Raw genomic sequence first — 27,921 nt, forward strand, 5'->3', positions numbered from 1 at the left:
GTAATAATATATATTAAAAATATATTTGTGGAAATACGTGAACACATAATGAACAAATATTTAATGAGCATCTTATTTCATGCTCGGTATTAAGCAGGCACCAGCAAACCATGCTTAGAGGCCAAATCTGGTCCACTGTCTATTTTTGCAATGCCTGTTCACTAATAATGACTTTCACATTTCTAAATGGTTGAAAAATCAAAAGTAATATGATTGTAACATTAAAATGATATGAAATTCATTTTAGTGTCTATAAATACAGCTTTACTGGAACACAGATGCACTCATTTATTTATGTATTATCTGTGGCTGCTGTTGCATTAAAATGGCAGGGTTGAGTGGTTGTGGCCTGCAAAGCTGAACATCTTTACTACCTGGCCCTTTACAAAAAATGTTTGCCGATCCCTGGTATAGGATATATTCAATTTACAATGGTTTTGATATAAGGAAATTAATATCCCATTCTTTCTCCTCCCCAAAGACAGATCAATAAACTTCACTATCAATACACTTACTGCTTTTCTATATATCTGAAAGCCAGAATAATGTCTATATTGTTTTATATATCACGTACGTGGTAAATAGCACCAGAACCATGAATACTGATATGTTATACTATTCATACATATGTTCTCCTATTCTTTTTATATTTCTTTTCTGACTTTTGGCTTAAGAGTACTAATAAAAACAGACTGAATTTGACTTGTAAAGTGTTCAGCATGAAGTTCTCAGTAACTGGTTATAACAAATTTCTTTAGAACCCAGAGCATTTTACAGAAGCCCAAAACAATTATGCATTGTTAAGCTGTGATTTGAAAGATGTGATAATTACGTGATCTTAGCAGTTCTACTGCTTTTTCATTCACAAGATTAAAAACATAATATAAAAAAGAAAATGCTAGTGTCTTCTCCCATTATAACCAAGCTCAGAACCTTGGCATTATCTTTGACACCCTCACATTAATTAGAAACAAATTCACTGTCTCCTGCATTCATTTCCTCTTTTCTGTCCCTCTACCACCAGCTTAATTCAAGTCTTCATTAACACTGAAAATACTTTTAAATCTTTTTTTTCAAATTACAACAGCATTATATATTTATTGAAAATAATTTAAATAGTATGAAAATATAAGAAAAGTCAAGTCCCAGTCGGGTGCAGCGGCTCACGCCTGTAATCTCAGCACTTTGGGAGACCGAGGCCGGTGGATCACGAGGTCAGGAGTTCGAGACCAGCCTGACCAATATGGTGAAACCCCATCTCTACTAAAAATACAAAAATTAGCTGGGCATGGTGGCGCATGCCTGTAATCCCAGCTACTCAGGAGGCTGAGACAGGAGAATCACTTGAACCTGGGAGGCGGAGGTTACAGTGAGCCGAGATTGCACCATTGTACTCCAGCCTGGTGATAGAGCAAGACTCCATCTCAAAAAAAAAAAAAAAAAAAGAAAGAAAAGAAAAGTCCCCCTCAGGTAACCATAACAATTTGGTGTCCCTTCCGATCTTTTGCTCCCTTATGACTTCTCTTGCTTATACTATACGAGGTCTCTCTAATTTGCCCCCGTCATTAGGTTCGTTTTACTCTGAGCTGTACCACAAGCTGCTACACAAAATAATTCTCTTGGAGTTGTAACTCCTTCATACACTCAGCAGTGAGGTGTGGTGGGAAACACAGGGCTTTGAAACTATACAGATTTGAGCTGAAATTGGTTTTATACATAGCACATGTTTTACTAGCCTTGTAACACCAGAAAAGTTACTGAAGCTGAAGGGATCTCAATTTTCAAGTCTGTGAAATGGGGACACTAGCACCTATCTTTCAGGGTTGTTTTAATCTAGGCTAAACATAAACAGCTGGAGGCATGAAGGGCCTGAGGAGCAGGATAGGCACAAGTAAGGGAGTGAGTTAAGATTTCAGAATTGAAAGGACGAAAAACTGAAGTTCAGTGGAGGTGAAGTTATTAGAATTGAACAGATCAAGAGACTGTGAGGTTACATGTTGCACAGGTTATGAATATGAACACTGCAGTTCCCCAAGATGATGGTGGGCCAGAGAGATTATGTATGAAATACTAAGATCTTCACTGAATATGGATAAGTGATTAAGAGATCCAAAGATAAGAATGACAAGGAGGGGAAGAAGGAATAGGAAGATGGAATGGGCCCCATAAGAGGAAGGAAAATGAGGATGAAAACAGAATGGCCTAAAAGGAACAGGTGAGCTTCACACAAACAATCTTGGTAGTAACAATGATTTCGTCAAGACAGAATTATCAGCCATTATGAATGGGGCCATGCTGAACAGATTTACAACAGGACTTCAAGATCCAAATGGAGATTCCCAGAGAAAAGCTAGGCCATGAACCTTACAAAATTGTATGAGGGAAACCGTAAGCTGTTCTACATATTTCAGAGATGGGACTGTGGCCTCTAAAAGCTGGCTGTGTTGCCTTGCATTTAAGTGAATTGTGACTTAGGGACATGGATTCCCCTTGATGAAGGATGCGGATGTCACCTAGAAGAGGTCCTGGCGATAAGGAAAGAAGTATGTCTTAGGAGATGTACAAATTGGAAAGGGAATTTTATTATGGGTATAGTGATTTTAAACTACAGATGCTTTCTTTGAATCTGACAGAAGGGAAAAGGATCCTCATACATCCTAGATGCCAGTTCCAGGTACCACAAGTTGCTGAAAATTTCCTGATGCAGGGAAAGGATGGGGAAATGGGTTCCCTGAGACCATAAGACAGACAGACAGACCTACAGACACACACACACACACACACACACACACACACACACACACACTTACTTATATAAACATTATTCCCCTTGATCTGTGTGTAAATATTTTAAAATTTTCAGTAAGGAGGTGGGGATGGAGAGAACGTGATTTACTACATAAGGCCTGGTTTTCTTCATGGCAAAGGCACCTGGCTGCATGGCTGTTCCGGGTCAAGTCCTGGGATTGAGCCTCACTCCTGCACTGTGGCACTGGCCAGGTCTTCTCAGGCTATACGTATTTTTAACATATTAAACATTTTTCCTCAGAAGTAAGAATGGTTAGTTTCCTTCTCATGAGGCAGAATTACAGCTGGCAGTGGTACGAAGGAAAACACTGGATTTTAAGTTAGAAGACCTTCAAGCTATTTGATGAGAAGAAAATCATTTAACTTCTCTGTGCTTGTATTTGTATCTAATTGATAGGATTCTTTTGAGGAGTCAGTGTGACACTGCATGTGACAGTGTGTTGCTGGTGAAAGTCTCCTTCTTTAATTATTATTAAAGACAATGTTTATTAGCATAAGAGAAAAAATAGTGGCAGAGCTAAGATTGAAATGTAATATTCTTCAGTGTCATTTCTGTCAAGCAATAAGCTATAATTCCTTTTTCAATAAACACAAAATGGTCCTTATGATAAAGGAAAGTAAAGGTCAGTCATGCAAGCTCATGGGGAGATTTTTTTCTCTCCTTCAAGGAGAGAGGTGGAAAGAACTAGCATGGAAACTTTTTTGAATGTGATCTTAATTATAATCAGTATCCTTAACAAATAACTTTTAAAAACAAATCCATAAACTGAGATTAGAATTGTCTTTAAAATATCAGTTATTTAATAAACTGCATGTCTGAAAGTGGATTTCAAGTGATAATTTCATAAGCATACATCATAAGGCAAAGGAATCTAAGGGGAAGTCTGAATGCTACATCACAGGGGACAACCACACCTTGAGACAATATTTTACACTTCTTTACTTCCTCAGGATTATTTGTTAATAAAATTTCTACTAGATACCTACCTTCAGTACCAAAATGACAGAATCCCACTTTTATACTAATTGTAAGGAATTAACTCAGTATTTGGACATGCTGAAAAGACTAATGATGAATACCACTTTTTTAAAAAAAGCAATGAAGGTACCCTCAGGAAACTGCATGGGGTATGAGACCAGATGTCAAATGATCTGGGTTATAGTTTGAACTCAGCCACATATTAAATGGTGAGACCTTAGCTAAACCACAACCTCAGAGCTTCTGTTTTCCTCTTCTGTAAAATGGGGCTAATCATACATATCCTGTCTGTTTCACTGAGTTGTCTTGAGGATCAAATGAGACCATATATGTGAAACTGATTTTTAAACTGCAGAAAGTTCAATAAAAGGCATTATTTGGATTATTAGTAAATTGAGTTTTCAGCCCACGTTAAAACACCAATCTGTCAGATAACGCAGGGTCCTGAGATTAAAAGTACATGTCAAAAAGCTGAATCACCATTGGAAAAATGCTTTTATAACAACATTGCTGTATTTATTGATAGTACCATCCAAAGGCCTTTACAAAAGTAATCCCTTCCCCCGCATCTGTTTTTCCCTCCTCTGTTAGTTGTGGGTGAAGAGAACTGTTCTCTAAAAGGTTTCTAAATGATGTTGATGTTAAAAAATATAGTATCACCATTTAACAGCCTTTTAAAGAGCAGTCCCCAGTATGGTCTTTGTTAACAACTGAGGGAGGAAGGGACTATTTTTTCAAAGGCTTTTAGAGGATGTTGTTAAAAGAATATATAGTGACATCATTTAAAAGCCTTTTAAATAATAGTCCTCTTTCCCTCCCAATTGTAATGTCCTTGGCTTTCATTTATTTTGTACTACAAGCCGAAAATGGACAAGCCAACATATTATTGGCTATGGCAGCATTTGTTGGATGGAGAATGATGCATTGCTTTTAAAAAGGTCGGTGTCCAGAAATAAATCCAACTCTTCTAGAACATAGTTTCATTTTTATACAGGATATTGCCCACCCACCTTATCATCAACTTGTAGTACTTTTTGTTTGTTTTCCTTAGGAGTTTACTGAAAAAGACACCATGCCAACAGGAAAGAAGTCACGGCTAAGTCATTCCGAGATTTCCCACGGCATGAATCTAGTTCCACAATCGACTGAGGTTTGCTTCAGTGAACTCTCCATCCAATTTATGGCAAATTCTAACTTTTAGCTCCTCTTCTGTAGTCTTTATTAATCTATTTCTTCCCACTGTTCCTCTCATTTTAGTTTAGTCCACTAGGAGACAGCAGTGGACCCTTAGGGTTCCTTTCCACACTTAGTTCCCAGGGAGGGGAAAAATGAAGTCGCCCGTTTGGTTTAAGACACAAAGTCTGATAGACAGTAATCTTTGAAAAAAAGAACTAGCCAGGGAGATAATCATATGATATGAAACAATTTCCCGTCTCTTCTTGAGCTGGGTATTTTCAGAAAAGTGTCCCTTCATTTTAAGAACAGGATTTCATAGATCCATAACACTTTGATGAAAAAATAAGCCTTTAAAACATCTAAATGTACAGCCCTCTAAACACACTGTATTTTAATCCTAAATTTTAGTGCTCCCCTTACTTTTTGCCAATCTTGCACACAGAACTCACTTGTTTATTCTATGATTTACTTAAATCACAGTAAATCATTATTTACTTGTGATCTACTATCATAAATCATATTTAGTTAAATATTACTACCCACAATGCAATGCTCAGTTCAAGTCCCAATTTATCTATTCAACTCTTCCTGGCCCTACTCCAGCCCATTATGATCTTAACCATATTCCATTTGACATGTTATAATTTAATTTTCACACTAACTTTATGTGTAATCTTGTATCCCATGTAACTAACAAAGTGCTAAGCCTAGATAAGAATAATTTCTTTATTACATAATAATTTCATACCAAACAAAAAAGAATTAGCCAGGTAAATAATCACAGTATGCGAATCATGTTTTTGCATGATTTTTGAAAAATGTAAATTACTTTTTAGTTCTCTACTACCTTAATAGCACCGGTTAGTTATCTGTGCCTGTAATTATATTTGATGGTAAATAAATATTTTAAAATATTTTAAAACATCTCGATAAAAATTCATTTCATTTGAGATTTATATCTCCATTATCTTGAGATAAATGTTTCACTGAGAAGTGCTATTATAGGCCGGACGCAGTGGCTCACGCCTGTAATCCCAGCACTTTGGGAGGCCGAGGTGGGCAGATCGCGAGGTCAGCAGTTTGAGACCAGCCTGGCCAACATGGTGAAACCCCATCTCTACTAAAAATACAAAAATTAGCCAGGCGTGGTGGCAGGCACCTGTAACCCCAGCTACTCCGGAGGCTGAGGCAGGAGAATCGCTTGAACCCGGGAGGCGGAGGTTGCAGTGAGCCGAGACCGCGCCATTGCACTGCAGCCTGGACGACAGAGTGAGACTCCATCTCAAAAAAAAAAATGTTATTATAATTCTGATTCTAAAGTAAAGTAAGTAAAAATTTTTAAATATAAGTGTTAAATTTCCTGACCTGAAGCATCAAAGAGACAGTACTAGGAAGATATGACACTTTATTTAATATGACTGATCTGAAAATTTCAAATTTCTCTTAATTTCCTTAACTGTAGTTAAGCAGAACTGCCTCAAATACGAATTGCTTCATTAGGCAGATGGCCATAATCTCTACAGCAGGGCTGCATCTGAACTCTATGACTAGTGAGTTATCCCCATGGTACAATCAACATCATGACCAGAGAATACAAGCCTGGGTGTGGTGCCGGGTTCTGCTCTTCATGGAAATGGCCTCTATGAGTGCCATCACCCTGCCCTCCTGTTCCTCTGCAATTTGATAGGGTTGGGGTGAGACATGAGTATCTGAGTCACCTCCTTCTTCCCACAGGTTCTATAAGTGAGGTGGTATACAGAAAAACAGCCCCTTCAAAGATGTCTAGGTCCTAATCCACAGAACCAATGAATATGTAACATTATGTGGCAAAAGGGAATTAATGTTGCCAATAAGTTGACTTTGAGATTGGAGGTCATTCTGGATTTTCTGGGAGGGCCCAAGTAATCACACAGATCCTGTAAGTGAATGAGAGAGGCAGGAGATTCAGTGTCAGAGTGATACAGCATGAAAACAACTCAATTGGCCATTGCTGGCTTTGAAGGTGGAAAAGAGCCATGAACCAAGGAATGTGGGCTGCCTTTACAAACTGGAAAAGTCAAAAAACAAAAACCAAATTGGATTTTCCCCTAGAGCTCCAGAAGGAACATGGTCATGCTGACGCCTTGAAAAATAATAATAAATTTGCACTGTTTTAAGCCACTAAGTTTGTGGTAATGTGTTACATCAGTGACTGGAAACTAATAAAGGTAACTGCGGTGCCTAGTTGAAAACCCCTGTTCTGAATTCTTATGTTGTGAAACCTATCTTCAGAGTTTATAGTATAGTTTGTATGCATGCAACTTTTTCAATGGCTGATCTGTGATCTGAGAAGCAACAAAACTCCGCAGTATTTTCTCATTGAACTTAAACTCCAACTATTATAGACACTAATAAATTTGAGTGGCTCTCAAATTGTCAGAATCAGTTTAGACAGCTGGTTTAAAAAAACTCCCCTCCCCTAACACTCCTTCTATGCTTTCAATAAGCGCCATGGGTTGGTTTTGATCTATCTGTAGTTGCCAGACAGGTGCTGGCAACAAATGAAAAAAATAAAAATGAACTGCCATCATTAAATTGAGGCTTCAATTTAATGCACTGCTTATTATCTAAGACTCCCTCTTTACCCCCTTTATTTAGTATGAATCTTTCTGGTAAAATACACATAAAGAAGCATTTTGCATATAAGCAAAGGGGATTATTATTAGAAGTAGTAGTGATAGATATAGACACTTGGTTGAAGAAATACAAACAGACATGTTTCAATGGGGAAAAGGAAGGAAAACAAAAACATGAGGGGGTCTGGGTGGGGCAGAACAAGTTCAGGATAATAAAATACCTAGGTTAGAAAAATATCAATAGTAAGTAGGTATCAAAAAAGAATGGAAATCCTGAAAACTCTAAAATGTGCTATTTTTGTCTAGAGTTACCTCTCTCTAAAATAAGCACAATACAAAAAGTCAGATGTTTATAAAAGTTATACCGAGTCTCTGAATGAGGACTCTTAAGCATTCTGCAACCATTTGTGTCAAGTTAAGGTGTCTATAACCCATTATAACCGCTGGAATAAATACAGGTGCACCAGTGAACGCTTATGCAATCAGGTCTATGTGAGAAAAGTGGAACCACAAAACATATAAGCAAATGCTGCTCAGAAAAAATTTAATTCAGTCTGTATCGGTCTGATAGAAACACACATGTAGAAGGACAAAATGTTTCTTTGTGGATATTCCATATGGGTAAATCATATTATAGAAGGCATGCACATTATAATTCAAGAATATATTACAAATATAAAAGAATGTTTTCTCTGTGTATTTGGCAGCATTAGTAATTCCTTCTGTCATGATCCCAAGACACCTTATGTAAACGTCCACTGCAGCCCGACTCATACGCTACTGAACTCTTGTGTTTACATGATTTCTGTTTCCATAAGACTATAAGATAGGACTCAAAACTGACATCATGACTTATTTTTTTATTTGCCACAGCTCATACCAAAGATCAGAATGTAGTAGACATTCCATCCATGCTTATTAACAGAAATATTCAGGTTTTTGAAAAAAAAAAATCTTTCATCACAAGTACCATAATCCCTAAAGTTTTACTAGAAAGCAAAAGAGAATTTGCTCTATCCATGGATAAAAGTCTGCAAAGAAAATAAAGGGCATTAACCTATATCCACGATTCTACCCAAATTTTTCTTGGAGGACTAAGAAGAGAGAAATTTCAAACAATCATGTTATGTAATTTTTATGTTTAATCTGACACCTGCTCAGATCATCACACTACCTCTTGACATATAGTGGCACCCTTTGGTTGATACCTTTGAAAAAAGAAGTACTGAACCACATATCCATAAACATACTTCCAGAAAGCACACCGCTGGGTCTCAGAATACAAATAATCTGGTCAAACATAGAAAAAAAAAAAAACACTTCTCTTATGATTTCCCACATCCCTCATTGATCAAAAGACTGATGAATTGATAACCTTCTCTAGGTATGTATCCTTTTTAAAAATCAGTGAAAAGGTATTGTTTTCTAAGAGAAAACCAGATAAAAAAAAGACAGACATTAATTTCTGATAGTTTCCTTTCAACTGTTTTACCTATTCCCTGAGCATTTAAAACTAGCAAGGCATTCAAACTTGGTGAGTGGTATGTCTACAGGTTCTAGTAAATAAAGCTATGTAAAAATTTCAAATTCTTATCAAGGAATTTGAGAAAATTCTGACACACGACACACATTAAGTATGGCAGAAGGTACAAGACTAAGTTGTCAGTGGCTGACATGTTTTCACCATCTATATGATGCTGGTATGATCAAGCACTTGATGTAATGCCTAGAAGTAAAATGAACCTGTGAACATTTTCTGGTATAAAACATGTCTCTGCCACAACACAATTTCTTAATTTCAAACTCATATTTAGGATCACTGCTTTCAGCAGCACTGTCAGCGCGCAAGGCTGGCATGAAGCTTCCAACTGCATATTATCACCCATTGACAAACTCGACATTTTATGAAGAGCCCCTCTTTCACACTGACATCCTCTGTACCCTGAGTAAATAACTTACAATTCATTTCCTAACCTTGATTTTAGAGTCCATCCAGCCTTTCCACCCTTCTTTTTCTTCTTTCCAAACAAGTGACAAAGAACAAGGAAGCTGATTGAAGGGGTCCATTATGTATCAACTTAAAGAAAGGCAAAGTGATTGATGAAACCAGCAGTCACCTTCACTGCTAGCTACTGCACCTGTATCCTTTTTGTCAAATGACCTGAAAATCCTGCTGACAGTTTAACACTCACTACAAGGATACACAGTATGAGACTACAGTTTTCAATATTTTTATTTGCAGTGAAATCTTTAGGGATATAATTTGAGAACAAAAGTTTAGCTTTATAATTTTTGAAGCTTTGTATTTTCCTCCTACACAGTCTCTGATTGCTATCAACTTTCTCTGCAAAAATACCGTCATGGTGTGGACAGGGTAGTTAGATGTGGTATGGTAGGTAACCTGAATGTTTATTTTAAACTTCATGTTTTTGTTTTTGTTAGTGGAGACAACATTGTTAACTCAGCAGGATTCCTTCTGCCAAGTGATTTGATGAATCCAAATTAATTATATTGCTAGAAGAGGTACTTATAATTTCTCATTTTATCTCTTTGGGGTGGCCAGTAGCTCAAAAAGTAATTAAAATTAAAAAGTAAAAATGAAGTATTCTAAAATTACTAACACTTTATCTAAAAGACCTAAAGTTGTCTCTCAACTTTCAATAGGTGAATTCACTAGGTAACCAAGCAACTAAGAATTTCTTCTGTGAATAGATAAAAGTTTACTTAAAAAACTCATGACATTTCCGTATAGCAGTGAATTTAGTCATAAGCTTACTGTGTTAGAAATAAAAATTTCACTAGGCAACAGGGACACACTTGAGAGCCAGCAAAATCTCAAAAGAAGCCACAGTTCTCTTTGTGGACATAGCACCATTTCCTCTGGGCATTTATTACCTGTTAAAAACCAATCTTTTGGTGAGTGGCAGTTCAGGGTTTTTGAGAGCAAGCTGCAATATTTCTTCAGGTCTGCAGAGTCATAATTAAAGCTGAACTGAGCGGAATTGGAGAGGGAAGGTCAGCGAGGTGCCGTATGAGAGATGAGGCTGGGCTGATGGGCACCAAATGAACAAATTATGATGGGCCCCACTCAATGTGATGAGGTCAAATGCTTGTTTCTACCCACTGACAGTTCAATTTCCCTGAAATGTCTCTCGGTTCTCTATGAGCTAATTATGAATGAAAAGTTATCAACTGCCCACACCAAAGGGGGCTTAAATACTATTTTGTAGAGTTCTTAATGTCAAAATATTGTTCAAAACAGCATGCTGTCCCACTCCAAATACAATGCTTGGGTTAATGTAAATACCAGTGAAACACTATCAATTTTCCTCAGGTTTCCCACAATGTATACATAAAGCAAATTCTCCAGCACTTGTCAGCTTAACAACAAAATAAAGATCATTTCATCAAGTAAATCTATATTATACCTACAGCTCATTTCCACAGTAATAGCAGTTCGGTGCTTATAGTTTTGCATATCACAGGCTACATAATCTTCAAATAGCACTATATATTTTTTCAGGAACGATGCTACTGGATTATTAGCTTCTAGGCATCAATACTCAGATTTACCCCAGCATACAGATTTATTATACTAAATCAGCTCAACAGCAATTGACAAAATGTAAACTCCTTTTATGGAACCTCAGTTTTTGAGGAACAATTTCCACAGCCTGCATTCATGATGGACAATTATTTTCTTTACATCTATAAGCCTAAGTGCCTACATCTTCTTTTTTGAATCCTATGACACATGGTAAATATTTGATTGAATGCAGGATCCAACAAATTCTTAAATAGTATATGGCCTCAATCACAGTAACACAAAAACAGATTGAAGTGATAACATTTGCTGAAGCCCTACTATGTGCCATTCACTATGAAAAGACTTTCACATAGGAATGTTTAATATAATACGTAGTCTAGTAGTTTTCTAGCAATCTACGACACCTATAAAAGCTTGGATCAATGAGGTTAAAGTGTACATCAAATAAAAAATAAACAGGATCTGCATAAAATATAGTACTGAGCTTAATTTTTTTTAAAAATGATAAAATATGTAAACATAATAAAGTTGAAAATGACACTTGTCAACTTTCTAATTAACACTAGGTGGAAAAGGAGTTTTAGGAATACGTTCTATAAGAAAAATGGATTTAAGGTATAAACATAAGAAGTACTTGCAGGGGGGGTCGGGCAGGAAGAGGGAAAGATCAATTACAATTCAGGTAAACACAGTGGACATTAAAAAAAAAAGGAGCATGAAGTAGGGAAAAAATTTTGCCATTTAAAAAGATCATGTACAGATATATACAAGTACATTTTTGGGCAACTTACTAATAATGAAAGTTTTTAGTGTTAACTGTTGTTTCCACATTTAACATAATATGCTTAGATATACAGTATCAATTTATATGATTCCTTAAGAAGCATTACCTTATATACGCATGTTTAGAGATCACAATTTAATTCATTCATTAAAAGACCCTTTCTGGAAGTTGATTTTTTCTAATTCTTATTGTAATTGCATTGTTCTAATCTTGTATTATAAAGGCAGCTGCTTGCCTATCATTTGTACTTTCCTTGTTAATCCTGACTCAGTGAATTAACCTTTAATTACAGCCGTTAAAATTGAAATGAGCCTCTTGTCTGGCTGGGGCTGCCCCCTTTCAGTGCATGATTCTGATGAAAATTTTTAGGGTCAATGAATATGTCCCATGTCATGTCTGATAGCTGCTAAAGATGTGAGGAGGTAAATGTTACCTTAGAAAGATGTGCTTTAAATTTTTAGATCTGCTCTATTGACAGAAAAATAAAATCAAAATGTTATTTTTCATTTTTCAGCTTACCATGCTGTATTTTTAGAGAGAGCATTTAAGAAATATAAAGAATGGAATATTAAGCTACGTTTAGTCAAATAATTTAAAGCAATAACTTAATCCCCATTTTACTGTCTTAAATATTACATGCTAAGTAATAAAAGGAATGTGTAAGTAGCACAACCACTTTCTAGATATGGGCTTGATGGGAATAATTCTCTCAGTAATGTAATAAACTAACATATTAACCAGTGGGGAGGGGCCAAGATGACTGACTAGAAACAGCTGTGGTCAGAGGCTTTCACCAAGAAGAATGAAAATGGTGAGTGAATCCTGCACCGGCAACTGAGGTATCTCTCACTGGGACTGACTAGGTGGTTGGCACGACCCACGGAGAGTGAGGAGTAGCAGGGTGGAGCAACAGCCCACACAGGAGCCACATGGGGCAAGAGGAGCTTCCACCCCCAGCCAAGGGAGGTGGTGAGTGATTGTACTATCCCGCCCAGGAAACCACGCCTTTTCCATGGATCTGTGCAAGACGCAGATCAGAAGATCCCCTCGTGAGCCCATGCCACCAGGGCCTTGGGTCCCAAGCACAGCTGTGCAGACTCTCAGTGGCCCCTCGGCTGGAGACTCCCTGAGACTCGTGAGTTCAAGAGGGGCAGCCATCATCATACAGCTGCCTGCTGCCTAAGATGACTGAGCTTTGGCAGGGGAAGGGGGGCAGCTGCCATCACTGTGGCTGCCTGCTGCCTAAGACCACCGAGCTCCCGGGCAAGGGGCAGCAGCCATCACTGCAGCTCCAGGCTGCCGTTTTCCCCTGCCAGTGCCGGGGAGACTGGGCGGTTTGGACCCCGGAGGAATTTTCCACAGCGCAGCACAGTGGCTGTGGCAGATCATGGCCAGACTGCTTCTTTAGAGTGAACATGGACCCATTCCTCCTCACTGAGCTGGGCCTCCCTGCAGGAATTTCAGCAACTCCAGCCAGGGGTTTAGGGACAGAACTCTGATCTCCCTGGAACAAAGCCACTCTGGGGAAGGGCAGCCATGGTCTTGGTGGATCAGTGCACTTAGTCCTTCCCCTCGCTAGCTCTGAGGAATCCGGGCAGTCTGGATGAGTGGGATTCCCGCCCCCGCACAGAGCAACCCCTCCACCAAGGGTTAGCCAGAGTGCTTCCTTAAGCAGGTCCCTGATCCTGTGCTCCCTGACTGGGTGAGATCTTCCAACAGGGGTCGCTAGACACCTTACACAGGAGCATTCCTGCTGGCATCAGATTGGTGCCCCTTTGGGATGAAGCTCCCAGAGGAAAGAGAAGGCAGCCATCTTTGCTGTTCTGTAGCCTCCACTGGTGACACCTCCAGGTATAGGAGGGAGCAAGGACAATAGGGTCTGGAGTGGGCCCCAGCAAACTGCAGCAGCTCTACAGAAGAGGGGCCCGACTGTTAAAAGAAAAACAAACATCAAGCAACAACAGCATCAACAAAAAAGTCCCCACAAAAACTCCATCCAAAGGTCAGCAGCCTCAAAGATTGGAGGTAAAGTCACAAAGATGAGAAAGAATCAATGAAAAACTGCTGGAAACTCAAAAAGCCAGAGTGCCTCTTCTCCTCCCAATTACCACAACACCTCTCCAGCAAGGGTACAGAACTGGGCTGAGGCTGAGATGGATGAACTGACAGAAGTAGGCTTTAGACGGTGGGTAATAACGAACTTTGCTGAGCTAAAGGAGCATGTTCTAACCCAATGCAAAGAAGCTAAGAACCGTGATAAAACACTACAGGAGCTGTTAACCAGAATAACCAGTTTAGGCAGGAATATAAATGACCTGAAGGAACTGAAAAACACAACATGAGAACTTCACAATGCAACCCACAAGTATCAATAGCCAAACAGACCAACCGGAGGAAAGAATTTCTGAGCTTGAAGACTATCTTGCTGAAATAAGACAGGCAGACAAAATTAGAGAAAAATGAATGAAAAGGAACAAACAAAACCTCCAAGAATTATGGGATTATGTAAAAAGACCTAACCTATGAATGATTGGGGTACCTAAAAGAGATGGGGAGAATGGAAGAAGTTGGAAAACATACTTCAGGATATCATCCAGGAAAACTTCCCCAGCCTAGCAAGACAGGCCAACATGCAAATTCAGAAAATCCAGAGAACCCCAGTAAGATACTCCGTGAGAAGATCGACCCCAAGACACTAATCGTCAGATTTACCAATGTCGAAATGAAAGAAAAAGTGTAAGCGCAGCCAGAGAGAAAGGCCAGATCACCTACAAAGGGAAGCCCATCAGACTGACAGCAGACCTCTCACAGAAACCCTACAAGCCAGAAGAGAATGGAGGCCAATATTCAACATTCTTAAAGAAAAGAATTTCCAACCCAGAATTTCATATCTGGCCAAACTAAGCTTCAAAAATCTACCAAACAAATGAAAAGCAGAAAAAAGCAGGGGTTGAAATCCTACTTTCTGACAAAACAGATTTTAAACCAACAAAGATCAAAAAAGACAAAGAAGGGCATTACATAATGGTAAAAGGCTCAATTCAACAAGAAGAGCTAATTAACCTAAATATACACGTACCTAATATAGGAGCACCCAGATTCATAAAACAAGCTCTCAGAACCTACAAAGAGACTTAAGACTCCCATATGATAATAGTGGGTGACTTTAATATCCCACTGTCAATATTAGACAGATCATCGAGACACAAAATTTAAGAAGATAATTCAGAACTTGAACTCAGCTCCGGATCAAGTGGATCTGATGGATATCTACAGAACTCTCCACCCCAAAACAACAGAATATACATTCTTCTCAGTGCCACATGGCACTTACTCTAAAATCGATCACATCATCGGAAGTAAAACACTCCTCAGCAAATGCAAAATAAGTGAAATCTTAACAGTCTCTCAGACTATAGCGCAATCAAATTGGAATTCAAGGTTAAGAAATTCACTCGAAACCACACAACTACATGGAAATTGAACAACCTGCTACTGATTGACTCCTGGGTAAAAAATTAAGGCAGAAATCAAGAAGTTCTTTGAAACCAATGAGAACAAAGAGAAAATGTAACAGAATCTCTGGGATGCAGCCAAAGCAGTGTTAAGAGGGAAATTTATAGCACTAAATGCCCACATCAAAAAGCTAGAAAGCTCTCAAATTGACATCCTAACATCATAACTAAAAGAACTAGAGAACCAAGAGCAAACAAACCCCAAACCTAGCAGAAGACAAGAAATAACCAAGATCAGAGCAGAATTGAAGGAGACAGACACATGAAAAACCCTTCGAAAAAAAAAAAATCAATGAATCCAGGAGCTGGTTGTTTGAAAAAAATTAATAAAAGAGACCACTAGCTAGACTAATAAAGAAGAAAAGAGGCCTGGTGTGGTGGCTCACACCTGTAATCCCAGCACTTTGGGAGGCCAAAGTGGGCAGATTACCTGACGTCAGGAGTTGGAGACCAGCCTGACCAACATGGAGAAACCCCATCTCTACTAAAAATACAAAATTAGCTGGGCATGGTGGCACATGCCTGCAATCCCAGCTATCGGGACGCTAAGGCAAGAGAATCGCTTGAACCCCGGAGGTGGAGGTTGCAGTGGGTCAAGATCATGCCATTGCACTCCAGCCTGGGCAACAAGGGCAAAATTCCATCTAAAAGAAGAAGAAGAAGAAAGCAGAAAGAAGAAGAAAGAAGGAGAAGGAGAAGGAGAAGAAGGAAGAGGAGGAGGAGCAGGAGGAAGAATCAAATAGATATAATAAAAAATAATGAAGGGGATATTACCACTGACCCCACAGAAATACAACCATCAGAGACTACTATAAGCACCTCTATGCAAATAAACTAGAAAATCTAGAAGAAATGGGTAAATACCAAGACTGAACCAGGAAGAAGTTGAATCCCTGAACAGATCAACAAGTTCTGAAATTGAGGCAGTAATAAATAGCCTACCAACCCCAAAAAGCCCAGGACCAGATGGATTTACAGCTGAATTCTACCAGAAATATAAAGAGGAGATGATAACCTTTCTTCTGAAACTATTCCAAACAATTGAAAAGGAGGGATTCCTCACTAATTCATTTTATGAAGACAGCATCATCCTGATACCAAAACCTGTCAGAGATAACAACAAAAAAAAAAGCAAACTTCAGGCCAATATCCCTGATGAACATCAATGCAAAAATCCTCAATTAAATACTGGCAAATCAAATCCAGCAGCACGTCAGAAAGCTTACCCACCATGATTAAGTCAGCTTCATCCCCAGCATGCAAGGCTTGTTCAACCTATGCAAATCAATAAACATAATTCATCACATAAATAGAACTAAAGACAAAAACCACAGGATTATCTCAATAGATGCAGAAAAGGCCTTTGACAAAATTCAATATTCCTTCCTGTTAAAAACTCTCAATAAACTAGGTATTGATGGAACATACCTCAAAATAATTAAGAGCCATTTATGGCAAACCCACTGCCAATTATCATACTGAATGGGCAAAAGCTGGAAGCATTCCCATTGAAAACCAGCACAAGACAAGGATGCTCTCTCTCACCACTCCTATTCAACATAGTATTGGAAGTTCTGGTCAATCAGGCAAGAGAAAGAAATAGAGTATTCAAATAGGAAGAGAGGAAGTCAAACTGCCTCTGTTTGCAGATGACATGATCTTATATCTAGAAAACCCATCATCTCAGCCCAAAAGCTTCTTAAGCTGATAACCAACTTTAGCAAAGTCTCAGTATACAAAATCAATGTGCAAGAATCACAAGCATTCCTATACACCAACAACAGAAAAGCAGAGGGCCAAATAATGAATGAACTCCCATTCACAATTGCTACAAAGAGAGTAAAATACCTATGAATATAGCTAACAAGGGAAGTGAAGGATCTCTTCAAGGAGAACTACAAACCACTGCTCAAGGAAATCAGAGAGGACACAAACAAATGGAAAAACATTCCATGCTCATGGATAGGAAGAATCAATATCATGAAAATGGCCATACTGCCTAAAGTAATTCATGGATTCAATGCTATTCCCATTAAACTACCATTGACATTCTTCACAAAATTAGTAAAAACTACTTTAAAATTCATATGGAACCAAAAAGAGCCCGTATAGCCAAGACAATCCTAAGCAAAAAGAACAAAGCTGGCGGTATCACTCTACCTGACTTCAAACTATACTACAAGGCTACAGTAACCCAAATAGACTGGTACTGGTACAAAAACAGACACATAGACCAATGGAACAAAATGGAGAACTCAGAAATAAGACCATAAATCTACAACCATCTGATCTTTGACAAAACGGACAAAAACAAGCAATAGGGAAAGATTCCCTATTTAATAAAAGGTGCTGGGAAAACTGGCTAGCCATATCCAGAAAATTGATACTAGACCCCTTCCTTACACCTTATACAAAAATTAACTCAAGATGGAATAAAAACTTAAATGTGATTGGGCACCGTGGCTCACACCTGCAATCCCAGCACTTTGGGAGGCTGAGGCAGGCGGATCACCTGAGGTCAGGAGTTCAAGAACAGCCTGGCCAACATGGTGAAACCCCGTATCTACTAAAAATACAAAAATTAGCCAGGTATCGTGGTGCACACCTGTAATCCCAGATACTTGGGAGGCTGAGGCAGGAGAATTGCTTGAACCCAGGAGGCAGAGGATGCAGTGAGCAGAGATCACGCTACTGCACTCCAGCCTGGGCAACAGAGTAAGACTCCATCTCAAGAAAAAAAAAAAAAAAACTAAAATGTAAAACCCAAAACTGTAAACACCCTAGAAGAAAATCTAGGCAATATCATTTAGGACATAGGCACAGGCAAAGATTTTATGATGAAAACGTCAAAAGCAACTACAACAAAAGCAAAAATTGACAAATGGGATTTAATTAAACTAAAGAGCTTCTGCACAGCAAAAGAAACTATCATCAGGGTGAACAAGCAACCTACAGAGTGGGAGAAGATTTTTGCAATCTATCCATTTGACAAAGGTCTGATATCCAGAATCTAAAAGGAAATTAAACAAATTAACAAGAAAAAAACAAAAAAAAAAACATTAAAAAGTGGGCAAAGGACATGAACAGACACTTCTCAAAAGAAGATATTTATGTGGCCAACAAACATGAAAGAAAGCTCCATATCACTGATCGTTAGAGAAATGCAAAGCAAAACCACAATGAGATACCATCTCATGCCAGTCAGAATGGCGATTAAAAAGTCAAGAAACGACAGATGCTGGCGAAGCTATGAAGAAATAGGAATGCTTTTACACTGTTGGTGGAAATGTAAACTAGTTCAACTATTGTGGAAGACAATGAGGTTATTCCTCAAAGATCTAGAGGCAGAAATACCATTTGACCCACCAATCCCATTACTGGGTATATACCCAAAGGAATACAAATAATTCTATTATAAAGATCCATGCACACATATGTTCATTGCAGCACTATTCACAACAACAAAGACATGGAATCAACCCAAATGCCCATCTATGATAGACTGGATAAAGAAAATATGGTACATATATTCCATGAAATACTATGCAGCCATAAAAAGGAACAAGATCATGTCCTTCACAGGGACATGGCTGGAGCTGGAAGTTATTATCCTCAGCAAACTAACACAGGAACAGAAAACCAAACACCGCATGTTCTCACTTATAAGTGGGAGCTGAACAATGAGAACACATGGACACAGGGAATGGAACAACACCCACTGGGGCCTGTCAGGGGGCACGGGAGGAGGGGGAGTATCAGGATAAATAGCTAATGCATGCTGGGCTTAATACCTAGGTGATGGGTTGATACTGCAGCAAACCACCACAGCACATGTTTACCTATGTAACAAACCTGCACATCTTGCACATGTATCCTGGAACTTAAAATAAATAAAATAAAAATAAATAAACACTCAAACACCAATGGAGTTCTTTAAACTGACAGCAGTGTTAATGGGTTCTATACTGATGACTCTGGAAAATAGGAAGGGTTAATTCATTCCAAACACATTTGATGAGCACCTATTATGTATTAAGCACTGGGAATAAAAAAAGGTCCTGTTCTATCTTCCAGAAACCCAGACTCCAATATTATTACATCTATATTTCTAATGTAAAAGACAAGGCAACCCTTCCCCTATGCTGATGATGTTTACTGAAGCCATTTGAAGTCTCTCCACTTACTTTCTTTAGATTTCTAGAAATTTTAGAGCTGGAAGGGACTCTAGAATCCTGTTCCCTAATTTCATAGCTAACAGCCTGAACTGAATGTAAACTTTGATGTACTAGTTTATATTTACAAGATATTTTGTCAGGTCACATATTCTATGAAGCATGAATGTCAAATCTTCAGTGAAAATATGTAAATGAATGAGTTTCTGAAATTACGCACTTAAAAACGCATTATGAAAAATTTTCAAATGTATACAGGAGCAGGGACACTGATATGATGAACAACTAGATACTGAGCACTAAATTTCAAAATTACCAACATTAGCCAATCTTGTTTAATCTAATCTTTTACTCAACTTCTGAATTATTGAAAAGCAAATTCCATGTATTATTTCATCAGTAAATACTTTGGTTTGTATATGTAACAGATAAAGATTTTGAAAGAAAACATACAATATTATCACATCTAAAAATGATATAAAACAAAAATTCCTCTAATTTCACCTAAAATACAGTATTCACATTTCCTTGGCCATTTCACGCATATCATTTTAGAGATAATCACAATTCAAGCAAGATGAACACATTTGGCTGGTATCGCTTTTAAATCTCTCTTAATCTAAAGGTATATGCCTTCTGAATTGGAATTTGCTGAAATTTTCTGTTTTGTTTTTTGGGGGGAGTATTATTTGTACAGAGGTGTAAAGCAGATTTTCCATATTAACATTTGGAGGGGAAAAGTCATAAATTCAGTAATGAAAAACAGCTGCAAATTTAAGGAAAAACACTTACTGATAGGCTTATAAAAGCTGTATATAATTATATTCCCTGAATGATTTGAGTAACAATGTGTCTGATATATTCTTTTTTTTTTTTTTTTTTTTTTTTTTTGAGATGGAGTCCCACTGTGTCACCCAGGCTGGAGTGCAATGGTGCAATCTCCGCTCATTGCAACCTCCACCTCCCAGGTTCAGGCAATTCTCCTGCCTCAGCCTCCTGAGTAGCTGGGATTAAAGGCACAAGCCACCATGCCCGGCAAATTTTTGTATTTTTAGTAGAGACAGGGTTTCACCATGTTGTTCAGGCTGGTCTTGAACTCCTGACCTCGTGATCTGCCTGCCTCGGCCTCCCAAAGTGCTGGGATTACAGGCGTGAGCCACCACGCCCAGCCCACGTCTGATATATTCTAAGTTAAGTGGTTTTTACTTTTCTTTGATATTAGGGTTATATACTGTACTTGTTTTTACTCCATACTCTCTTGTCAGTGGTAATCAATTCTTAGTGTTCATTGGACATGTATTCTACAGCTAAATTCGTTTCTCTTCCTTCGAAGAGAAATAAAGGTTTTGTAAATATCATAACATCTTCCATGTTTAGGTCAGGTTTCTCATGTTAAGAGATTTAATACTATTAGAATAAGAATTATTAATTTCCATACCATGCCCTGCCCTGTGTTCAGAAAAAAATTTGGCACTGTTTTTAAGGGGAACAGTGGTAACAGAAGTTAACTTGGCTGACATGTAATTAAATAATATTTGCTATATGATTGACCAATGCATAATCTAAGATACCATAATGCTTAAAAACTATATTTTTCATTTCAATACCACAATTCAACAGTAGCAACAAAATTTGAAATATAGCAATTCATAGTCACACAAAATTCCATCAAATTTGTGTGACTATGAACTGCCTTTTTTAAATGCATAATTTCAGACTATGAACTGTTTTTTAAAAGATAGAATTTCAGAAACTCATTTATTTACATATTTTCACCGAAGATGACAAAACTGCCATAAAAGATGAATCTTTTAAAAACATATTACATTTTTAAATAAATTATATTTTAAAAATCATCTTATTTCCTACTGTGGTATATTTAATAATAATAATTAAAAGCTAAAAATCATAATCTTAGGGAAAAGTGGATAGATGTTCAGTGAACTCTCAGCTCTGAAACAAGTGAACTCACAGCCAGCAGAACTACTTACCACAAAGGAGGAGGAAGGGAAGTCGAAAGGCCTAAGGCTTTCTTTATCACAACCTCTTTAATCCTTCAATTTCTTGCAGATCTGTGTGCATGTTTCCTTTGTTTTTTTGGGTGACCTGGGTTTTTTGCCACAAATAATTGCTAGTTCATTAATAACTATAATTAGCATCTGATTCAGCGGATTTGTCACTGTGGGGAATTTTACTAAAATACTAACAACTAACATTATGAGTACTATCCGCCAGTTAGGACAAACTGGCACATATTTGCTTAAGCCAATTAAAAATATTTTGCAATAAAAAAATTCCAACTAAAAATTAATAACAATCTCTTTTTAAAAAGTAGCTCCTTTTAGTAATCTAGGAAAAGGAGAGATGAAAATGGTCTGTTATGAGTACCTCAGAAGTAGCATAGAAATAGAAAGATCAAGCAGCAGGATGACATACCTTAAGGTTTAATTTAAGAATTAAAGCAACCTCATACCCAGAGAATTGAATAAAAGAATAAGATGGGGCATGGCTAGGCAATGGAAGCACAAAATACTGTCACACTTTAATTTAAAAATGTTTTCAATTGAAGCAGACCCAGGCCAGTGATTTTTCATTATTTTTACCACAGTTCCATGACTACTGACATTTTCATCAGAACAAATAAAGGATTTTTCCTAAATTTAAAATGACAAAATTATTTTTAATTTTGACTTACAATTTCTCCCTCTTCCAAACTCAAAGGAATTTGATCTTAGCTGGACTTGTCTCTTAGCCTGGGGCCTGAATATACCTTAACTTTATAAAATGGAAAAAAAAAATTTTTTTAAAGATAGTTCTTCACCGGGCACGGTGGCTCATGCCTGTAATCCCACCACTTTGGGAGGCTGAGACAGGTGGATCACCTGAGGTTAGGAGTTCGAGACCAGCCTGACCAACATGGAGAAACCCCATCTCTACTAAAAATACAAAACTAGCCGGGCGTGGTGGCACATGCCTCAGGAGGCTGAGGCAGGAGAACTGCTTGAACCTGGGAGGCGGAGGTTGCGGTGAGCTGAGATTGCGCCACTGCACTGCAGCCTGGGCAACAAAAGCAAAACCCTGTCTCAAAAAAAAAAGATGATTCTTCTACTATATTAGAAAAACTTTATCATATAATTTTTTGAATGAGATCACATATTCATGAAATGTCTGGCATATAACTTAGTAAACGTACATATTCAACAAAGACGTCCCTCAAAGCAATCTCTCCTTGCAGACCAACTTGAAAAAAGTCTAGCACTCTGCCAATATAAGAGATTGGAAAACAAAACTAAAATACCCTAGTAGCAATTAAAAGAGAGTGAGGAGAACTGGTAGGGGGGTGGTTGGGGAGGATATATCTAAGATAAGACTACTCAAGAGAAACTGAAATCCTAAATACAATGCAACTAACTTCAATCACAATAGTTACTATTATAATGCACAATTATCCTAATAATTCCAAATACTGTTTTAGTAGATTTCAGATGGAGTGAATCAGATACTTCTTCATGAATTATGGTTTGTTTTTTTCTTATTATTGTTTTAAAACCAACAGAGTGACTTCCATACCAAAACAAAGGAAAGGCCTGATAAGAGTCTTCTGTTTCCCAGTTGAGTTCCTACAACACAAACTGGGTCAGGGACTTATCCCTAACTCACGGAAGAGTTGTAACTCCACTGGCTGCCAATTTTCGACAATAGCAAAAATCCGTAAGACTACTTGCTAGCCAATTTCCCATATTCCTTTGATAAGGAACCTGATAGGACAAATGATAAAAACTGCAGAAGCTACATTTGCTTTGTGGCTTTTCTTTGTACCACTCTGGGTGCCCAAATTCAAGTGGATTACAAATGGGGTTGCTTCTTCCTATCCTTCGGCCTATAAATCCATGGGGAGCTGAGGGGCATGAGTACAGGGCTTCTTGGTCATGCTGCCAAACTTAACGTCATCTTTTTGCTGGTCATAGGAAATTCCATGCTAGCTACTGATATTCCATGCTAGCTTCACCCTGGCATGGTCATCAAGTGACAAAGTGATGGTCCTCAATGGTAATTCAAGGAAAGCAAACGGCGAAGAGTACGGACTATGAAAATCATCCTTCTACTTCTTGCTAAAGGAGAAGAGTAGTTCAGGTATCTAAATCTTAAGCTGTGTCAAATATTGAAAGTAACTCTTTTAGGTTTTAAGTTATAATGGTACAGAGGAAAAAAGGTGGAAATGTGGAATTTAGCAAATATCAAATAATAGTGTTTATGTTCATAACCAGAGAAATAATGACAAATAAAGACAACTTGTATCTACGGATACTTCCAAATGGGCAAAACTGTTACAAAAAGGAGAGCACTTGGTATACTGTAATTACATACTTTGAGGCAATTTTTCTTTATTTTCCCAGTCAACTATAAACTTTCTCAGGGCAAGAAGCTTTCCCATCTTGTTTACCACTATATCCATGGCTTCATATTCTGGTCTGAATAAATACATGTTGGATGAATAAAACACTTAATTGGCATATGTGTAGTAAGGAATTTGACCTAACCTAAAGAGGCTTAGGACTTTCTCTTAGCTCTTGAGGGGCGACCTCTAAACCCTTGGAATTTCCCCAGTGATAAAAGTGTCTTTGTTATTCATGGTGGGCCCTTTGGGACCACACCTGATAATTTATGCCACTGAGGTGACTCATGACAGGTCCCTCAGATAGCTTATGCTAAGGAGATAACTCAGGATAAGGCTGGCCAAGATAGAAAGACCAACCATGTGATTAGAGGGTTGGGGCGTTGAGCTACTTAATATCAGCCTGACCTCTAGAGACAGGGGAGGGCTGGAGACTGAGTTCAACTATGTGGCTAGAGTTCAACCATGTGGCAATATTTCAAACAATCAAGGCTATATGATGAAGCCTCAATAAAGACTCTGGATGTCAAGGTTCAGTGAGCTTCCCTGGCTGGCAATAGTCCATGCATATTGCCAGATTTTCATGCCAGTAGGGTAACCCAAAAGTTTCACATTTGGAACCCTCCTAGAATCTGCCCTAGGTGTGTCTTCGTTTGGCTGGTTCTAATTTGAATCATTTTGCTAAAATTGTAATCCTAAGCACAGTGCTTTTCTGAGTTCTCTGAGTTGTTCTAGAAAATTACTGAACTAGAGAGTGGTTTTGGGAAATCCGTAAAGTTACAGCTGGTGTCAGAAATCTTGGGCCAACTTAGTCTGGAGGACTGTGCCTTTAACCTTGAGTTTGGCTACCTCCAAGAGGCATACAACAACAAATTAGGCCTTTTTGTTTGTTTCATGGATTGTTCTTGAAATTCCTTACTATTCCTCAGTGTACCACTTTTGCATTTTGAAATGATCACTTTTCTTAATGAGCCTTCCTGTACTGTCCAAAATTAAATTCCACTTAGGGTTTGTGATCCACAAGGATCAAATCTGTTATCTTTATGGTAGCTAAGTCAGAGCTCCCTCACTAATTTGCCACAAATGGGTCAGAGGTGTGCTGCGATACTGCCCCCCATGAATCCCCAAGGCCAACTGGGGTCTGTGGTAGCTGGAGCTCCTAGACTGGGTGCCTCCAACCTCCTTCAGCATTGTTTACCCTAGAATGCATTACAGGTATTGCCACTTTTCTACATGTACCGGCACACAAAAAGATTGGAAAACAAGTTAAGGAATCATTACTACAATTTTCCCATGACAGTGCGTCACCAACATACTTCTCAAGTATCAGATCTGGTTACACATGTTATACTTAAACCCTACATTGAAATACTGTTTCAGCAATACTCCAGTTCTTCCACACCCCAAGCCTTCAGGTATACTAGTTCCTCTTCTAGGAGCGTCATTCTTCTACTCCAGCCACCTAGGCAAACTCATCTTCCAGACTCAGTTCCAAGGTTACATATGTATATCTTCTCTAAGAGATCTTTGTCACCCAGGAGAACTTGGTGGATTTGTCTCTAGTTCAGCACTTACTACATTAATGATTTGACTATTTCCCTCAGTAACCTGTGAGTTTCCTCATAACACGCTGCTCTATGACTCACCTCCTTCTTTCACTGCTTTTATTTGGCTTTTTTCTTTGTTGTCTTCTAAAGCATGATGTTCCCTAGGATTCCATCTTCAGTTGTCTCTTCTCACCCACAAGGTTTCCCTTCTGTTCCCCTACCTTAAACCATTACCCATAACCTGATGGCTTTAGGATGTGTGTGTATGCACACACATGTGCACATGCTTGTATTCTAATTAGTTGGCCCTAATTTTTCACTAAAATCCAGAATGGATTTTACCTTCTTACTGGACATCTCTAACTTGATGTTCCAAAAGCACCTCAGAGTAACATGTTCCAAAGAAAATTTCAATGTCATTGTCCTTTCCTCTTCCTTATTTTCTATCTTGGTTAACTGGGTACCACTATCCAGATAATCATTCCGGTGCAAATCTCAGTTATCTACCTAAAAGTTACCAAATTCTTCCTTTGTTCTCTTCCTATCCAATTAATCTTTCACACAACTTTATAAAACAAAGATCTGATCACTATCAATAACCTGCTCTAAAATCTTCAGAACTCCTTTCAACTGTTTCACAATATGGCTTTCAACCAGTAGCTACTTCTCTCTCCCCCAAAACATACATTTTGTACACTAGCTATATCTAGCTACAGAATTTGGCAAAAACATAATATACATTTTATCTTCTCTCTTTCATCTGGCCATTCCCTGGGCTGAAATACGCATCTCCTCTTCTTCCCTGTTGGTAAACTCAATCATTCTCCAAGACCCAACACAAATATCGCTATCCAAGTCCATATTGATAGGCACTCTTTGCAGAATTACTTGCTCCCTTGTCTGTACTCCTATAATGAAGTTTTCTAGTCTTTTTCATTCACTAAACTGTGAGCTCCCTTAGGAAGGGACTATGTTTTATTAACCTGTTATCTGTAATTCCTAGCATAGTGATTTAGTCATACTGTGTTCAATAAAGCTTTTAAGTAAATGAAATTAAGCTATAATAAAGCCTTTCAGTCTGCATGTATGTTAGAATGCAAATATCTAGAGAATCTCACTGGTATCTATGAACAACATAAACATTAGGGGAACATGTGTTGTTACCTGCCTTACAGATTTCAGATATGAAAGCTCTTAGGTATTGCAAATTTTTATTGACTATATTCATGAATACATTGCAAAATGCAAGCCTTAAGTAATACAGCTAGTATTCCACCATCTGAAAGTCAGACCATCTGTGTCTGGCTTTGCCAAAGGCAAATCCTGCTTTAAACTCATGTTAGAATACTGTCAATTCTTCTTACTGAATGTTTTTTAAAAAGGTACCATCCACAATCAACTACATGGCTAACATAAGTTAACATTTTTTTTTGAAATAAAATCTAAAGGGTTGAAATATTTCTATTTCATTACAATTTTCTTATATAATTCCTTGGAACAGGAATCTTAAGACATTTTCTTTTTTACAAAAGAATTTTACAGAAATAAAACCCTCATTAATCTGAACTCTAATTGAGAATTTAAGAAAATTAAGCATGGAATGAAGGATGGACTAAGTTTGCACCATCTAAGAAGCAAAAGACCTACCATGGAGCAAATAAGATTTTACAGGACATATAAATGCAGTTCATTAATTAAATAATTCTAAGGAGTTTACCACATACGGTATATACAAAGATTGATTTAGTATATAATTCTAAAGGAAAGCAGAAAGATATGGAAGAAAAGGAATAGAATTTGGAAGCACAAAACCCGGACTCAAGTATTAAGTGTACTATTGATAGTTTTATTTTAGTTATACTTTGGATTTTAGTATATATTTAATGTAGCTCACATTTATAAAAACCTGTATATAAAATAATTCAGGCAAAGAAGTATAAAGAATAGATTAAAACAAAAACAAAATCCAACATCCCTCCCCCATCGAGCATCATGAGTAAAACTTTAAAAATCTGAATGACAATCACAAGTATACCCATCCCAGATTGCTTTCCTTTTTGCTTCTGGCATCAGAGGTAACCAGAATTTGGATTTGGTGTTCGCCAGTTGCAAGTATGGTTTTAAACATTTTCCACATATGTATGCATCCATCAATTAAATAATTCTAAATACTTTTATACTTTCTACAAATGGCTTCCTATGTATTCTTTTGTAATTTTCCTATTTATTTATTTATTTGACAGGTCTCACTCTGTCACCCAGGCTGGAGTGCAGTGGTGCGATCCTGGCTCTTGACAATCTCAGCCTCCTAGGCTCAAGTGATCCTCCCACCTCAGCCTCCCGAGTAGCTGGAACCACAGGTGTGTGCCACCATGCCCTGCT

The 27,921-nt window shown here is 37.9% G+C and overlaps 1 protein-coding gene across 2 annotated transcripts in view, besides 1 other annotated feature; it reads right to left on the minus strand.

Annotated features, from left to right (window-relative positions):
* The window catches only part of AP3B1 (adaptor related protein complex 3 subunit beta 1), a 294,177-nt gene that overhangs the window by 51,731 nt on the left and 214,525 nt on the right, over positions 1-27,921 (minus strand). The window lies entirely within an intron of this gene.
* Positions 13,111-13,664: an enhancer, noted in NCBI's record as "H3K27ac-H3K4me1 hESC enhancer chr5:77361187-77361740 (GRCh37/hg19 assembly coordinates)". NCBI's record gives its function as "activates a minimal SCP1, AML or CMV promoter by ChIP-STARR-seq in primed H9 embryonic stem cells {active_cell/tissue: H9 hESC(primed)}" and the evidence as "EXISTENCE:reporter gene assay evidence [ECO:0000049][PMID:30033119]".

Source organism: Homo sapiens, chromosome 5, assembly GCF_000001405.40.
Source record: "Homo sapiens chromosome 5, GRCh38.p14 Primary Assembly".
NCBI classification, from domain to species: domain Eukaryota; kingdom Metazoa; phylum Chordata; class Mammalia; order Primates; family Hominidae; genus Homo; species Homo sapiens.